An 18,440-nucleotide genomic window follows, 5' to 3' on the forward strand; every position below is an offset into this window, starting at 1 on the left:
CTAGGTAAATCTGTTCCCTAGTGGTTCTCAATTTGCAAGCTCTAAACACAAAAGCAGACATGCTTGGTAACTCAAAGCATGGGGATTCAATATCACTGGTTTCAAAGTCTGTGGAATTCACAGACATAAGCATTCAGCCTAGGGAAGAGAAGGCAGATAATAATTTAAAAGATACTGGGAAAAAAAACAGATGGTAAAGAAGAATGTATTATAAAATTTTTAAAGTTGGGGTCCCTGCTTCAATTGTGGCAATCCCTGGTCTTAGAAGACTAAATGAAAACCTACAAGAATAAACATCAAGGCTCAATGTGTCAGTCTTCAGTTGGTTTGGTTTGTTTTTTTACCCCAAGTTTTAAAAGTTATGCAGCCCTTAGAAAGTTCAGCAGGTAGTTCTAGTCATTAAGTGATTTATACACAGCCAAATACTAATATTTTCTACACTGGTATTAAAAATGAATAGGATTCATTTACACTTGTTAAGTTTAATAATTTGCCTTCCTGAAAAGCAGATTTCCACCCCAAAGAGAAAAACTAGATTACTTCAAATAGAAAGCAATTTGTAGAAAGACTTTTCAAATGTAGGTGCTTCATTGATCAAGTTTATATTTAAATGTAGTTTACATTTAAATGTAAGTGCTTCATTGATCATAAACTTATCAATGAAGCACCTACATTTGAAAAGTCTTTCTACAAATTGCTTTCTATTTGAAGCAATCTAGTTTTTCTCTTTGGAGAGGAAATCTGCTTTTCAGGAAGGCAAATTATTAAACTTACACGGGGTGGGGAATATCACACTCTGGGGCCTGTCGTGGGGTCAGGGGAGGGGGGAGGGATAGTATTAGGAGATATACCTAATGTAAATGACGAGTTAACGGGTGCAGCACACCAACATGGCACATGTATACATATGTAACAAACCTGCACGTTGTGCACATGTACCCTAGAACTTAAAGTATAATAAAAAATAAATAAAAAATAAAAAGAAATACATGATAAAAAAATAAAAAAATAAAGTCCTTGAGTTTCTTTCCAGCTTTACAGTTTCATGGCCTTTAACATCCTTGTTGGGAATGTGACGCCCTACCTATATGCAACCCCCAAAACATTCATGTAATAATCTCAGGTAAAATTCTGTATCATTCTCTATGGTTACCACCCATTCAAAAATTGACATTAGACCCTGGGCACCTGTCCACGATGCCCCTGGCTGAAAGACTGATCCCTGAAGGGACGGGCAGACATGAAAGGGCTATGGGCATCCAGATGTGACTGGTGGTGTGTGTGCACATTACCTCTCCCGCTCCTGCTCCAGCAGGTTGGTGAAGTCGTCGCTCTTGTTCATGTAGTCAGTGTGTTTATGCTTCTCGTTCTCTAACTCGTATACGGTGCGCCTATGACACTTCTCGGCCAGCAACAGCTGCTCTAGCATGCGCCGGTAGGTTTCTTTCTGTTTTTCCTCAAGTCTGTCCAGCTGAATAAGCAAACATGGGAAAGGGCTTAATATTTTATTGCATTTGCATAGGACTCTAAATAATTTGTTGACATGGGTCTAGTGACTTATTACCTGAAAGCGAGAACAGTGAGTCTGGTATTCACCACCATTTCCCCCATTGTATCAGTTTCTTTATGCTGATTGGCTGTGTAAACCAACCATAATAATGCTGCAGTAACTTCTGGCTTTCTGGCTTTTTTGTAAACATATATATGGTTCCTAAACTTCTTTCCTTTTTTGGGGGGGTGGGATATACCATAATTTTATCCATTCTACTGTTGATGACCATTTTGGTAGTTTCCAGCTTGGGTCTATTACAAATAATGCTGTTCTGAATATTCTAATACATGTCCTTTAGTGAACATATGGCATATGTGTCAGGTGTATACCTATGAGTGAAATATGGGTCATAGGATATGTGTATATGTAGCTTTATTAGATATGCTAAGCAATTTTCCAAAGAAGCTGTACCCATTTACGCTCCTACAACCAGTGTTTAGGAGTTTTGATTGTTCTACATCCTTGTCAACATTTAGTATTTTTAAAACTTTTAGCTGGGCGTGGTGGCTCACGCCTGTAATCCCAGCACGTGGGGAGGCTGAGGCAGGCAGATCACGAGGTCAGGAGTTCAAGACCAGCCTGACCAACATGGTGAAAACCTGTCTCTACTAAAAATACAAAAATTAGCCGGATGTGGTGGCACATGCCTGTAATCCCAGCTACTCGGGAGGCTGAGGCAGGAGAGTGGCTTGATCCCTAGAGGCAGAAGTTGCAGTGAGCCAAGATCTCACCACTGCACTCCAGCCTGGGCAACAGAGGGAGACTCCATCTCAAAAAAAAAAAAAAAAAAAACCTTTTAACCATTTTGGTGGGTGTGTAGTGTTCGCTCAACGTGATTTTAATGCTCACTTACCTGATAAAGTTCAAACACTTTTTCATTTGTTTATTGGTCATTTGGGTTCCTAAACTTTCAGGAAAACAACTCTTTCACGGTTTTAATGAGATAGCACAAAGCTCTATACTCAGAAAGAGGATAACACCCTTCCTAATAGAAAAATTAAGATCTCAGCATGTACATGCACCAGACTTCTCCCCTGGAAAGTAATTTTCATCACAATCTGTTTTTAAAGCTTGCAGCTATATGCATTTCTAGGAAAAGTATATGTAGGATCCAAAGTCCTCTTTTTTTCAAGAGATGCTAAATATAGGGAGGATTTCAGAACTTGTAGACAGTACATATCTCTAAAAGAGTTCTTACCAAATATTATTGCAGAGGCCGGGCGCAAAGGCTCATGCCCGTAATCTCAGCACTTTGAGAGGCGGAGGCGTGTGGATTGCTTGAGGTTAGGAGTTCGAGACCAGCCTGACCAACATGGTGAAACCCTGTCTCTACTAAAAATACAAAAATTAGCCAGGCGTGTTGGCAGACGCCTGTAATCCCAGCTACTTGGGAGGCCGAGGCAGAAAAATCGCTTGAACCCGGGAGGCAGAGGTTGTAGTAAACTGAGATCACACCACTGCACTACAGCCTGGGCAACAAAGCAAGACTCCATCTCAAAAACCAAAACCAAAACAAAACAAAACAAAAGAATAAAAAATCCGGAAATATTATTACCAGGTCTTTGTGCCTCTTTCTCTGATCAGGTTATAAGATTTTTTTTTTTTTTTTTTTTGAGACCAAGTCTCACTCTGTTGCCCAGGCTGGAGTGCAGTGGCACGACCACGACCTCTCAGCTCACTGCAACGTCCACCTCCTGGGTTCAAGCGATTCTCCTGCCTCAGCCTCCCAAGTAGCTGGAATTACAGGGCACAAGTCATCACGTCCAGCTAATTTTTGTATTTTTAGTAGAGATGAGTTTTCACCATGTTGGCCAGGCTGGTCTCAAACTCCTGACCTCAGGTGATCCACCCGCCTTGGCCTCCCAAAGTGCTGGGATTACAGGCATGAGCCACCGCACCTGTCCTGGCCAGGTTATATGATTTTAAAGAGATCATGCCTTGATCACCTTTTTAGTCCCTGGTGCTGAGCACAGGCCCTGGTACAAAGTTGATGTTCAGTAAGTGTTTGTTAAATTGGACCAAATCTTACAATCTTGATATTTCCCTATCCTACTCAGTATCCTATTTTCCCCCTTTGAGTTCTAATTCATTGTTCCACAACTTTGGCACTGCTGAGGCCAGATACATCTTCATTTCGGGGTGCTGTGAGCTGGAGGATGTTTAGCAGCATCCCTGGCCTCTGTCCACTAGATGCCAGTAAGCCCCACCTCCTGTGTGACAATCAAACCATCCTGACATTGCCAAATGTTCCCTGGAGGGAAAAATCCACCGCCACCCCAATTGAGAACCACTGTTCTAGTTGAAACAGACATATTTAAAATCAGTTCTCAATCTCACAACCAACTTTCTGAAACCCCACGGGGTAACTCCACAGGGTCTCAGCATCAGAGCTATTCCCCTTTAGTTTCTGTTTGCCCTTCAGTTATAAGGAGGATTTGAAGTTCTCTCTATAATTGCCTGATATGTTCATTGTGAGTGAATCATTCCTGGGGCCCAAAATAAAAGAGAGCTGCTCACATTATCTTCTTCCCAGATCTCCACTTCCCTTGTTTAGGAATAGGTGACCAGATAGAGACTGGTGGAGAAGCCCACGTTAATGGGTGGCTGATAATATCTGAGATCATCAGGAATTGCTAATTGTATTTTTACATCTTCTAATAATTTTTTGTAGTCTTTTTTTTTTTTTTGAGATGAAGTTTTGCTCTTGTTGCACAGGCTGGAGTGCAATGGCACGATCTTGGCTCACTGCAACCTCCGCCTCCTCGGTTCAAGCAATTCTCCTGCCTCAGCCTCCTGAGTAGCTGGGATTACAGGCTCCCACCACCACACCCAGCTAGTTTTTGTATTTTTAGTAGAGACGGGGTTTCACCATGTTGGCCAGGCTGGTCTTGAACTCCTGACCTCAGGTGATCCACTCACCTCTGCCTCCCAAAGTGCTGGGATTACAGGCATGAGCCACCGCGGCTGGTCAATTTTTGTAGTCTTAAAGGGACAGTCTATACATGAGGTTTTCCCATTGTAATAGCTCCATTCTCTATTACAAAATATTCTCCCCAAGAACTTTCCAAATTTCTACGTGTGATTTTCAACATATTTTAGAGAACGTGTCAAGCATTGCTGAAACATCATCATCATCATCAAAAATGTAGAAAAAGCAACTTTCCCCCCTTTTTCAGTCTTCCTGCTTTATCATAAAATAGGACCCTCCATCTTTTGGAAACTATTTGAAGATCAGTATTTTCCCTGTTTCTTCAGGCCCTACCCAACTCCTCCCAAAGGAAGGAGAGGTGACTTATTTGAAAGTTGTGTTTGGAATAGGGAACTGGATGTGTGCAGCCCAGCCCTTTCATTTCTTATTTTTTACTCTGCCTGTCATACAATGATACATTGTGATCTCAAAGCTCAAACTCTTCTGCAGTATCTCTCAATCCATGTAAGGAATTCTGGAGAGGAAGGTGGCAGCATTACTAATCAGATGTTTGACTGGGAAATGTAAAGAGATAGTCATTACATGGACATCTGGAGAAAAAAACAGCACATGGAAGTATCAAGTGTTCTGGGGCCGCCCAGGCAGAGGGTAGGCCTTAGCCTTTTTACATCTATTCTTGTAGGCTTTTGAGACTGGTTGTTTGCAATAGCCACAGTTCTGGACTAAGCCACTGGAGTAGGTGGCTGAAGTCTTTGTGGGTAATGTTCACCTCACCAACACTAGCACAGCTTGACCACAACAGTAATTACATTATCTGGAAAGCAGTGTTTTCATCTCTTAATGCATAAGTTACTGAGGCATTGGTGTATGTAATGTGTTTCTTAGGCAGAGCTGCAGATCCAGACTTTAGAATGTAGAGGCTGTAAATTCTTCTGCTATAACACACATTAGTGTGTGAGGTTTTAGGTGTCAATTTTAAGTTTTGGATGTAAGAATAACATAGGTAGCAAAAGATCAGCTGTACCAGATGCTGTTTCTTGTTTTTTTGTTTGGAACTACATCAGTCACCTAAGAGAGAACAGAGGTAGCCTATTTTCTTGGCTCTATGTGGCTTGTCCAGAGGCTCTGAAGACTATATCCCATAACTATAGATTCTGTAGATTCATTAATCATAGATACTATATGTACATGGCTTTTGGTTTTCAGGATCCAAGCTGTGGCTTAGTACAGAGGAATGGGTTTTATTAAATGACTAGTGAAAGTAGAATAGGCACCTATTGCTTTGGAAATATAGATTCTACTTGGACGAAGTGGAAGGAAAATTGAATGAGATAATCATAACACCAAATGCCAAAAATTTACTAAGGAAAGAGTGTACCTGGAAGTCTTATTCTAATGAATAAAGTTAGTGGAGAAGTACAATAACTTGAGGAGAAATTTCAGTATGTTTTAGATAAAAAGGCATGATTCAGGAAGTGTTTTTAACTCTGTTACCTGCAAAGGGCTAACTGGAGAAGTATTAAGGAATTGGGGAAAAGAGAAGTCTACTTAAAAGCAAATATGAGGTCTTAAAGACCAAACTAGATTTACACAAAGGAGAAATGGATCTAAGTACTCTTAAAAATAGGGATATTAAAATGGAAGGTATTTCAGACATTGTTGAATCAGAATGCGTGCCCAGAGAAGATAGAGACAGGAGAGCCCAGAGGACAGAGCAGGGTGACTTTCCTCACAAAGAAGGCATTAGGCTCCAGGAAGGCATTGAGGAGGACACTGTAAATGGGCTGACAGTCTTTCATGAGCTCATCTGGGGGCCCTTCCCGTGAAGACTGCAACATCTATTCAAAGTGGTTATATAAAATATGAACAGATTTAAGAATCGAAATCTGGGAAGATCAGGGTAAGACATCTGAAGCATTATTTGGTGAATTTCAGTGTCTCAGCTGTTGTAGACGGAATTGCCAATATTTATTTATTTATTTAATTTTTTAATTTTTTAATTTTTATTTTTTTGAGACAGAGTCTTGCTCTGTCACCCAGGCTGGAGTGCAGTGGCACGATCTCGGCTCACTGCAACCTTTGCCTCCCAGGTTCATGCCATTCTCCTGCCTCAGCCTCCCGAGTAGCTGGGACCACAGGCGCGCACCACCACTCCTGGCTAATTTTTTGTATTTTTAGTAGAGATGGAGTTTCACCATGTCAGCCAGGATGGTCTCGATCTCCTGACCTCGTGATCTGACAAAGTGCTGGGATTACAGGCGTGAGCCACTGCGCCCAGCCCTTATTTATTTTTGAGAAAGAGTCTTGCTCTTTCACCCAGGCTGGAGTGCAGTGGCGCCATCTTGGCTCACTGCAACTGCCGAGGCCTCCCAGGTTCAAGTGATTCTCGTGCTTCAGCCTCCCAAGTAGCTGGGATTACAGGCACCCGCCACCACGCCTGGCTAAGTTTTGTATTTTTAGTAGAGATGGGGTTTCATTATATTGGTCAGGCTGGTCTCGAACTCCTGACCTCAAGTGATCTGCCCGCCTCAGCCTCCCAAAGTGCTGGGATTACAGGCATGAGCCACCGCGCCCAGTGATATTGCCAATATCACTGGGGCCCTGAGTGAATATACTCAAGAAATGTTGGGATGTAGTGTTTGAAGGAAAGATGAGATAAAAGGAGATTTAGGCAGGACAGCGTCAGATAAGTCCAAATGTGGGTGTGGTTAATGGAAAAAGGCCCTTTAATGAAGATTATCCAACTCAAGAACATGAAAATAGATAAGATTTAGGTTTAACAAAGAATACTCTTGGCAGACTCAGAATTCCTTGATTTCACATCTCTCATTGAGGGAGTCCACATAATGAAGAATATGGAAGGCAATATTAGAAAAACAAATGTCTGGGAGCACTTGAAGAAAATGACTAAAATGCTGAAGCTACAACTCAGCTGAGCCTTCCTCTCTCACAACAGAAAAAGTTGTGGCAGAAGAAAATATTTTTGTTGCCTTGAGTCAGACAAGTTACTCAAGGATTGAAAGTTCAAACATGAGGGGAGGCTAAGTTCTGAGGAAGAGTAAGGTCTGATCCCTTCTGGGTCTCAAATTACACAGGCTTCAGAAGGGTGACCCTCTAAAGCGATGGGCTTCCTAGGCCTGGGAACAGGGCCTGAAAAAAGAAAAAGATCAAAGAGGTCTTAAATACTCAGGTGGGAAAAATTGAGTACCTAAAATGAGACCTAGGCACTGAGGAGGTCACCACTGCAAATCCCTAGACTTTACGAAAAGACAGGAATGTTTTGAACGCCACTCACTGAGGGCAAAGACAATACCTGCAGACAGGCTCCACCTAACCTCGAGCTTGCCATTTCCCATAATTATTAAGCTGCTGATGACAACAGGCTCTGGTAAGAGCAGACTTACCAGAACCCTGCTATGGCTGAAGATTTTCTCTATCTACCTTCCTTCCCTCAGACATGCCCAAAATCTCTGCTTCAGTATCTGGTAGGAGTAACATGGACCTTCTTTATACTGAGTCCTAAGGTCAAGGAATATAATTTTGCTTGAGAAAAATGTATCTTAGTGCTAGAGACTCTCTTGTATTTTTTAAATTTATGAGTGTGAGGTTGTACTCTGATAATTGCATGTGTCCTAATAATTCTTTAGATTCTTCAGAAAAAAGTAGACTCTAGGGACTTCCGGATATATTAATACAACTTTGAAAATGCCAGTGAGTCCAGGTTTTTTTTACTAAAGGAGAAAACAAAAACAAACTCTACCCAATCAATTGAGATCCCACTGGCTTAGGCTAAGCAGAATACAAAATTAGGAAGGAAAGAAATGAAAGCCTTCAATGTTTTTGGAATTTTACTTAAGAATTATGAACTTTGATATTCCAGACTTTAATTTACGAAGAAGGGCAGAGAGATTTAATATTTGCTGTTTAATTCTTCCCCAGATATTTGGCAAGGGAAATAGGTCCACTGTACTGGGTTCATTGCTTAACCGCTGGTGAGTTCTATTGGATACCCTCGCTGGGCCTAATATGGTATGGAAATAAGAATGATCAGTGATTTTTGGCTTAAGGTATAACATTGCTTCTAGGAAACAAGAGCTAGACTACCTGCTCGTGATCCCAGGAGGCTAATGGAACAGTGATGTATCGCGGTTCCTGCCTCGTGAATTTGGAAGCAGGATTCTGCTCCTAGGTAACAAGAACTTGACTGTTAATTTAAAAGGTTAACAGACCCAAAATGTGTAAGTGGTGGAAGGCAATCTTTTCTCCTTCTATCATTCTATTTCTCTCACAAAATGGACTTCATTTTGGCAGTATCAGGAAAAGTATTTTCTGCCCTCTCTCTCTGCCTTCTCACTCACTTCTCCCCAAAGGGGAAATGACTCTTCAGATTGTTAAGAGGAGAAAGGAACCATGAAATATGCCCAGCTTAGCCAGTTCCAGAAGGACAACTCACAGGATGAGTGTTTTCTGTTCTGATCCTCTGTCCCTGAGTTAGGAATATTTAGGTCAGGCCTACTTTCTAAAGGTAGGTCAGAAACTCCCCTCTCTGTGTTCAGCCCATAGAACCCAGTGGATTGGAGGCAGTAATCCTGGGTAAGCGTGTATGCTCTGCAGACGCACCTCTCCCTTGGTGGTGAGGGTGGGGAGTGTCATCCCAAGCTCTAGCCTTGGAAGAAAATAATTCAGAAGCCCAAATGAGACCATTTATCCAAGCTGAGTTCTCTAATCCAAGTTATTATTATTATCATATTAAACAAATACATGTTTTTGACCTCTGTGTCTTTTACTCCTCAAATCTCCCCAAGTTTCAAACCAATTAAGGGTATGAGCAGTTATCATTTTTGAATCCCAGCAAATTCTAATAACTAATACTTGCTGAGTACTTAGAATATGCCAGAAACTATGTTAAGAGTTTTATAGGCACTGCTTTATTAAACCCTCACAGCAGTTCTATGAGGTGGACACTGTGGTTCCTCACACCCCACAGATGAGGAAACTGAGGCTTAAAGAGCTTACATAATCTGCCTATAGCCATACACAGCTAGCAGTGGTAAGTCTCAGAAGTGAAAGTAGATCCAGCCTGTTGACTGCATCCTATCTTATAATCATCTCTTAACTCTTTAGGAAAAGATGAGAATAGAGCTCCAGTCTATTCTTGCTGCAGTAATTTGAAAATTATGGGACCATCAATCTGTTGTGAATGCTGTCTACAGCAGATCTTATCTCTCAGAATTATCAAACTGAGCTGATCCAAAGGCTTGACATAAATTACATGTTAAACGTATAGTAAGTTGTTTCAGACTTTTAATTTCTGTTCTCTTTTTTCATTCATGACACTAATTTCACAACTGTAAATTTTTTAATATAAAGTCTGAAGGGTCAATGTGAAAAACTGGTATCGCAATCTGGCTCAAACTTCTGCTACAATGTGAGAGTATTTTTAAAATGTGGTATTATGAGTAATCGATAATAATAGTCATAGCCCTAGTAGAATTCATTTCATCTCAAAGAATTGCCCTAAGCATTTCATTAGAATTTTGCCTCTATCACTGTATTTTAGCCACTCACATTAGATCATTTTCATTATGAAAGAGTTTATAAAATTCAAAAAAGTGTCTTTATAACCATATCAGATAAGATCAATTTAATTTTAGGTTACCAATTTTGTAAGAATCCTGACAGCTCAATGTTAAAACTGGCAAGTACTTCAAATTTTTACACATATCATTTCTTAGAGAAGTAAAAGAATAATATACTGCAAGAGCATGTAACTATCAGAACCACATGGAAAAATATATTTCAGGCTTTGGTATGTTTAAAGAGAAGCTTCTACAATTCTTAACATTGAAGCTTATCCACTATAACCCTTGACTTATTTAATTACACTTTAATTGTATATTAGTGTATCATCAAAATTTTGCCTTTGAAAGAAAATGTTAAAGCATGTAAATGGAAGAATGTGAAGATATCTCCCTGAGGTTCCCATCCAGGGGACTTGTTGGTGTCATATTTTTACCTCTGAAATCGGTTTCTCATAGACATCTTCTCCTATGGATTTCTCCTGGGCAAGAATGGCATCTCGGTGCAGGACCCGCAGCACTTTCTCTGGCTCCGCAGACCCGTAATGAGCCTCCAGAACCTCAGGCTTGGTTTTCTCTGTCTTCAGCATGTGGATCACATCTTCTCTGGCCTGTAATAGAAAGTGCAGCAAGATCAGACGACTGACAATGTAAATCGCATACTGGGCTCAAAAAATCAACAGAGAGCTTATTGAATACATCCCCATCTTGTCAGGGCTATTGGCAAATTCACTGGGTATTCTGCTCTAATTTTTTTTTTTAACCAAAAGCAGATTGGCAAGCAGATACTCTGCTTCAGGTTGCTAGGAAGCAGGCAAGCAGAAAAAAGGATTTGTGCTAATATTAACTACATAAAAATTGCTTTATCTAAGTAGCAATAATTTGGGATGGGGTGGGGGAGGGAGGCAAGCAGGGCTGGTCCTGGCATACTTAACCTGTTCCAGTGCACATGAGGTCAATGACAGTCTAAAATCTTCTAGTTTTCTATTGATGTTCTCAATGTAGTATTCAAATCTGGTTTAAAATAAAACCCTGCTGCCTCCATTCTAGTTATAACTTCATGTGTAATTAACAAACAGCCTTTATTGGTTATTTCCTGTTTCTCATTAGGTGATTCATTTTGCACAGAAACACATGGTTGAGAACTCACATAATGCTTGGCTGTCCTTTTCAAATCTAATGTATCTAATGTATTCACAAAAAAGGTGAAATTTCACCCCTTTAACATCAGACTGTCAGTTAGATGAGTCAGCTTGGTAGGTCAGAGTTTTGTTTGTTTGTTTCTTAGCACAACGTATTGCTGAAGCTTTCAAGAAAACCACGATTGTAGGCTTTATATCATACTGTCTGTGGTTCCCATCACATAATGCAAATACACCTGTTTATGTTTTGCACTCGTTAGTAGGGTTGATCTTTCTAGTTATGATGGAGCTGACATTTGCTGAATGTATTTCCATATGGGGACACACTTGGAGCTATTTTTCCAGTAATGGTGATGGGTAAGAAGTGCCCTGACTTCATTCCAACTTATACTAAAGAAAAAGCTGGTTGGGAACAAAGTTTCAGCCTATGACAATGGAATAGAATTTTCTCCTATATTGATGCTAACTGTGGGACTGAAATTATAAACCTGGTTCATTATTATGATATTCTAAAGAAGAGAGCTAAGTAGTCAACTATGAGTATTCATGATACGACCATTATAAAGTTTGTCTTTCTTGAGGTTTCTCACTTTTGTTGCTTTTTTGGTCTCCAAATTAATCTAATTCCATATGGCTACAGAATAATTCATTACTGAGATGTCAGTGAACTGGAATTTGCAGATTTGAAATGTCTCTGCCACATATACGTATGCTCACTTCAAGACAAAAATGGAAAATATGAATTTTGAAGAACCCAGTGGTTTAGAATGTTGGTGAGAATGTTGAAGTCAGGAAGTAGTTTAATGGAAAGGCAATGTGTCTCCATGCAGGTTGAAAGAAGATAAGCACAGATGCAGGGTCAAGTTAGCCTGTACACTGTGCTCATCAGAAAAACGTGCCCACTTTATTCAGGAGACACAGCCCTGAGTCAGAGCACAGCTTACGTAGTGAGTGAAGAGCAGGCTGTATTTTAGCCCCATTCATCCTCTCTGCCAGGCACCATTGTACAAGGCATAACTCCCAATCTGTACTGAAGGAGTCTCAAGTTATGTAGACTGCTATTGGTCTTCAGGCAGAAAGTGCTCCTATGTTCATCTGACATAGGTGAATATATAAAGCATATTCTAAAATAATGATTCACAATGCTGACTGTGCTGAAGTCATTTGAGGAACTCTAAAAAATCCCAAGGCCCAGGCCACTCCTGACCAATTACATTCTAATCTTTTGGAGAAGGACCTACACATCAACACTTTTTAAGGCTCCCAGGTGATTCCAAAGTTGAGAGTACTGTGCCACACTAATAGATTATGAGACATAGCAACTAAATTGAATACAAATCCTTGGCATCATCCAAAGTAAACTTTCTTACTTTGGTGCAAGTGCATTTCCTTTTTCCGATCTTAAAAAGGTGTCATCACCTTTCTCCTTTAAGTCATCCTCACACCCGAGGTCAGTTTTTTGCTTAGACCAAATCTGAAAGAGACAAACTCGTCTTTAAAGAAGAAACACCATACTGTGAATTTAGTGACTTATGTAATGACAGGAAAGGAAAATTTAGAATCACATTTAAAGTGAAAAAATGGCGATGATAGAAGGTTGGCAAGCTGGAAGTTCTTGATAACAAACTACTGTCTCTTTCTCATCTTTAAATCAGATGAAGTAAAGGCCATTTTCTAAGGTTCATTTTTCTAACATGTGAAATGTGAAGTCTTATAGAGCAGACATAGAATGTACTGTCCTTTGAAAAAATAAATAAATAAATAATTTTAATATAAAAAAATTAAAAAGAATGTACTGTTGTTTGTACCATAAATTGAGATACTGATTACAAAATTTCTGAAAGACTAAAAGAAAAGGGCTTAGAAGACAGGGTAGTAATATTAAGGGCTGGTTTTTTTGTTTGTTTGTTTTTCTGTTTTTTGTTTTTGTTTTTGTTTTTGAGACAGAGTCTCAGTCTGTCAACCAGGCTGGAGTGCAGTGCCGTGATCTTGGCTCACTGCAACCTCCACCTCCCGGGTTCAAGCGATTCTCCTGCCTCCTCAGCAATTCTCCTCAGCCTCCTGAGTAGCTGGGACTACAGGCACATGCCGCCTCGCCTGGCTAATTTTTGTATTTTTAGTAGAGACAGGGTTTCGCCATGTTGGCCAGGCTGGTCTCGAACTCCTGACCTCAGGTGATCTGCCCGCCTCGGCCTCCCAAAGTGCTGGGATTACAGGCGTGAGCCACTGCACCTGGCCTAAGGACTGTTTTTAACCTTTTTTTTTTTGTTTATACAGGTATGTATTTTCTAAATTTTCTACAGTAAATATGTAACTAGTTTTACAAAGAGAAACAAAGTAGTACCTTCATAAAGAAAAAAGAAATACTTCATCATTCCTTATTCCCCAGAAATAAAACAAAGGCAAATAATTTCATAGAAAGTTCTGTCTTTTTTATGTTCCCAATGCTGAGAAAGCCACTTTCATTCTGACTATAGACAGTCCTATGCACAGTATCTGTAAGATTTAACACAAAGAAGGGTATAAAACAAAAATTGCTCAAGGATTATTCTATGACCTCTTTTTGGCATTGTCCTGATTTCTTTCAGAATTATTTCAAACACACCAGTAAAGCCAGAGGTAAAACAGCCACTGAGCTGGGTAAGTGTACTGAAAACAGGGTAGTATAAGGATTATAGGTTTTCCCACCTAATATTTATTATGATTTAGTCACATTCTAACTAGACACCTGAAGGAATCACAGCAGAACTATTTCCATATGGTCTTTCCACAAATGACGTTCTGAAAAAGTGTTTGTCCTTAGTTATGGATAAAGGTAATCAGAAATTGGCTCTCAAATGTAAACTGTATCAAGTAATCTTGACAGCATCAGTTGTACTGCTGGTTTGCACAAGTTTACATGGCTTGAGCATAAAAAATTAAATAAATCTTAAAGCTATCAAGCAAATATGAATTTTAATTAAAATATAGGAATAAAATTTTTATCATGATATAGTAGAATGTGTCCAGCTTTGAAGAGACTCAGAAATAGTTTCCAATCTCAGCTAAGTTGTTTGATTTGTGCAAGCTGCTAACCTTGCTTTGACCTAATTTATCATTTATGAAGTTGGATCATAATAACTTTCTTATATACTTGCTGTTAGTTTAAAATCAGATGTAAATATATAAGACGCCTAACATAAAACTTGGCATTAAAGTAGGTGCTGAGACAATAGCAATGATTTACTATGGTTTCTGTTAGGTCTCCATGATTAAATAACTTTTTGCTGCAGGGGTAGAAAAGGAATTTTATAAGATATATTTTTCCCTAACCAAATATAACGTGTAAAACTGATATTGTTAAAACTGTCTGGATATTTCACAATCTACTTTTAGGAATATTTTTTTCAAAAAGGAATTTCAAAATCAGAGCAGTCTCTCCAAAAGTTATTTAATCTCCCTGACTGTTTCCTTGTCTGTAAAGTGGGGACACAACCCCTATACATTATAGGGACTGTGTTAGGCTCTAAACAAGATAATGCAAATAAAGTACTTTTAAAACTGTAAGCAGGTATCTATTTCAGTTTAATCATTTAAGCTATTCAGTTTAAAAATACGCAAATATTATTGGTATTGATCATCTTGACCCCAAACTTCCTAATTCTCTTAGAAGACAGCTTCTTGTGTTCCAACTGATACCAAACACCTATTCCTTTCCTCCCCCGAAATACACTTTTGCTTGAACTGTATTAATTGTGATATGCTACATATACTAAATATTTCATCTTAGTTTAATTATCCTAGATACTAATTACTGAAGAAAAAGAGGCTATGGTGATATAATACATTGTATTTATTTACAACCACACTATTCACTATAAACTTACTAAAGGCTCTTTAATTGTATAGTAATAATCATGGAAAGAGGCTGGGTGTGGTAGCTCACACCTGTAATCCCAGCACTTTGGGAGGCCGAGGCAGGTGGATCACCTTAAGTCAGGAGTTCAAGACCAGCCTGGCCAACATAGTGAAACCCTATGTCTACCAAAAATACAAAAATTAGCCAGGCGTTGTGGCGTGCGCCTGTAGTCCCAGCTACTTGGGAGGCTGAGGCAAGAGAATCTCTTGAACCCAGGAGGCGGAGGTCACAATGAGTCACAGTGAGCCGAGATTGCGCAACTGCACTCCAGCCTCGGCGACAGAGGGAGACTCTGTCTCAAAAGAATAATAGAGATAATAATAAAATAGTCAATCAATAATATTGTGGTATCTAATCAATATATTAATGAAGACGACTATGTGATCACAGATCTATTTTACTATTTCAAACAAATGATTCAATATATGTTACAAAAAGATCCTATATTTTGGGGATAAAACAACTTTACATCTCCATTTTTGAGAAACTTGCTAATTTTTCTATAAAAGAATAAAGTTCAAAATGTAAGAAAACTTCTGTTCTTGAGCATTAATATTTTCACATAGAAATTTATCCAAAATAAGTTGTTAAGATCCTAGGATGTGGGGAAGCTGCAAAATAGACCACTATATTTAAATACATATAAAATGACCCAGAGAAGAATGCTTTGAAGACGACTCTATGTTCAACTTATTTACTCCTGATGATAGAGAACAAATATGAGATTACAGCAGAGAAACAGACACAGCTGTCACACCATTCTCTTCCATCAGACATAGTTCTTTGTGCCAGTGGAGGTGTAGGGAGGCCAAGAACAAGGATGTTCCATAAATACCCACAACTGAAACTGCACCAGGTGGAACAAGGGGTTTCTCAGCTGGCTGGATAAGAAGCTGATTCAAAACATGTGGGGGCAGCAAAGAGCTGCTCTGTGAGGCCTAGGGCCCACAGGTGAGTGTGCGATTCATCGTATAAAGTCAATGGAGTGAGTCTGTGCTTTGCTGGGAAAGCAGGAGTCATAGGTTCAAAAGAGGGCCGAATCCAATCACTCCTTCAATAAATATTTGCACACATTTACTTTGTGCAATGCATTGTATTCAGTATTGGAGAAATAACTGCATCCTCGGGAATTCAAGTCTGGAGAGATATAAACAAACAATTGAGAGGTGTTTACAATATGACATAGTAAGCCTTAGGTGGAGGAAATACTTGGGGCTAAGGACGTCACCTAGAAGAACGCTTAACTTGAATCTGAGCTAACAGAAGAGGCTTCCTGGATTAAGGACCTGAATTCTCATAATGAATACTTGAGCCACAGAAAGAAGAGGTAAGGTGAGAGTACTCTAGGCCCAGGCAAGACTATACAAAGGCCAAACAGATTTAAATGCATGGGATGGTGCAATATGAGACTGGAGTAATAAACTCATGAAAAGCTTTGTAAGCCATGCAATGAGTTTGGATTTTGTCACAGAAAAGCAAGAGACTTTGGAGTTTTTGAGCAGCAGGACAGCGATGGTCAGATTTGCGTGCTGGAAACATCATTCATCTGCTGTGTTAAAGGCACAGAAAGTCTAAGTTAGCCAGTCTGTTGGGGCAGGCCAGGAACTGTGTTTTGAAATATTTCTGTAGGTGATTCCAAAGCACAGCTGCACTTGGAAATCACTGCTCTAGGACAGATGACAAATTCAGCATCAAAAATACTTAAAACTCTAGCTGTGTTAGCTCAAGGTTCTTGGCAGGGTTGTCTGATTCCCAGGGACTTTGTTGCCTCAGAGGTTTTTTACTATTCTCCCTGTATTATTAGTCCCTGACCTTTCTGCACCAAAGAATCATGGTCATTTCCAGCCAGCAGCCTAAATGAGGAGGATCCCTGAAGACTGCTGGAAGTGTTTGCCAGTTCCGGGCAAATGAGGGTGACCAAATGTCCCAGATTGTGTGAGACTAAGGGAAGCTGAGTCCTGTGAATCTGGACTTTTGCAAACCAGGACAGTCCCAGGCAAACCAGGACAAGTTGGTCACCCTATGACAAACACCGGTCAGAAAGAGACTGGATATTCCATAATATTCCTGTGTCTAGCAAGGCAGCCATAAATGGGCTTATTATGCTCAGGAACTGAATTTCATTGATCATGTTTCCACAACTTAGCTTTTTTTAAAGGTACAACGCCATTACTAATTATTATGTCTGACGACAATTTAACTGTATTTTAAACTTGTGTGGCTTTTCTATCTTTGAAAGAAAAAAAAACATAATGAGTAGGAAAGAATACTTAGTTCTTATGCTCCTATGACAGAGCTTCTTCCACACTTCTAAAACGGGGATGGAATGCCCACGAGCCTTGGAGCTTGGAGATAAACATGGTGCATCTTCTTTTAGCACTAAGATTACTGAAAGACTTGGGGTAGATGATAAGTAGTTTAAAACTCAGAATATTCATACAATTTTAATATTCACCTGAGTGTTCAGAACAAAACAAAAGATATAAAATAGCATTTGCTTCAGCCAGGCAGCTTGGGACAGACTCTTAGACGATGTAACCATGACCCCAGCACGATGATCCACTCACTTGGCTGAGAGGAAGCATAGCCAGTGGGAAGTTTTAGAAGCCTGCCCTTACCTAATGACACCACACACTTTAAAGAAGGCATTCCTGCCAAAAGCTGTTGACTTTAAATGATAGATCCATTTTGAGGAAAGGACAAATCCATTTCTATGCTTATGGAAGAATGACACAGTTCCCAAGCACTATCGCTTCTTTGTATTATTTAACTTCTTAAATATGACCCCATTGCTGCAGTGAGTCAAGGAGCCCTAGAAAAGACAGTCCTGGAAAATCAGTAACATGCCCATTCTGTGATTGCTTTCCCATTCTGCTTTCCCACTCAACCATTCTGTATCTACTTACATATGGTAATTTATTAATTTACTTGTCTATTTCCTTCTGAGGCTGTGAGCTGCTGTGAGGACTGTGACTGCCTTGGGAGACTGTGTCTATAGCGCCTAAAAGAGTGCCTGCTGCATGGTAGGCACTCTGTAAATATTTGCTGAAATAAATAAAAGTAAAATTAAGTGATGTGAAAGTCAGAGAGGCATAAACTGGCACTGAAAATCTCAGAACAACCTTAACTACTTAGCCTTGTTCAAAAGATCTAAACAATTACATTTTGTCAACCTCTTTACTCTTTCATCTGATATATTTGTCTGTAATTTGGGAGTCTCTTCTTTTTTTTTTTTTTTTTTTTTTTTGAGACAGAGTTTTGCTCTTGTCGCCCAGGCTGGAATGCAGTGGCATGATCTCAGCTCACTGCAACCTCCACCTCCCAGGTTCAAGCGATTCTC

General features: G+C 39.7%; 1 protein-coding gene across 6 annotated transcripts in view, besides 1 other annotated feature; it reads right to left on the reverse strand.

Annotated features, from left to right (window-relative positions):
• The window catches only part of FILIP1 (filamin A interacting protein 1), a 201,942-nt gene that overhangs the window by 60,388 nt on the left and 123,114 nt on the right, over positions 1-18,440 (reverse strand). For all 6 annotated transcript variants that reach the window (XM_005248715.6, NM_001300866.3, XM_005248713.5 and 3 more), the window contains 2 exons: positions 10,498-10,671; positions 1,293-1,471 (listed from right to left, as the gene is read on the reverse strand). In XM_005248715.6, the coding sequence (XP_005248772.1) occupies positions 1,293-1,471; positions 10,498-10,671 (353 nt within the window). The remainder of the gene's footprint in view (positions 1-1,292; positions 1,472-10,497; positions 10,672-18,440) is intronic.
• Positions 9,973-11,172: an enhancer, noted in NCBI's record as "CDK7 strongly-dependent group 2 enhancer chr6:76071935-76073134 (GRCh37/hg19 assembly coordinates)". NCBI's record gives its function as "activates an origin of replication core promoter dependent on BRD2, BRD4, P300/CBP, MED14 and CDK7 cofactors, with strong dependence on CDK7, by STARR-seq in HCT116 cells {active_cell/tissue: HCT116}" and the evidence as "EXISTENCE:reporter gene assay evidence [ECO:0000049][PMID:35650434]".

The sequence above is a fragment of the Homo sapiens genome, chromosome 6, assembly GCF_000001405.40.
Source record: "Homo sapiens chromosome 6, GRCh38.p14 Primary Assembly".
Lineage (NCBI taxonomy): Eukaryota > Metazoa > Chordata > Mammalia > Primates > Hominidae > Homo > Homo sapiens.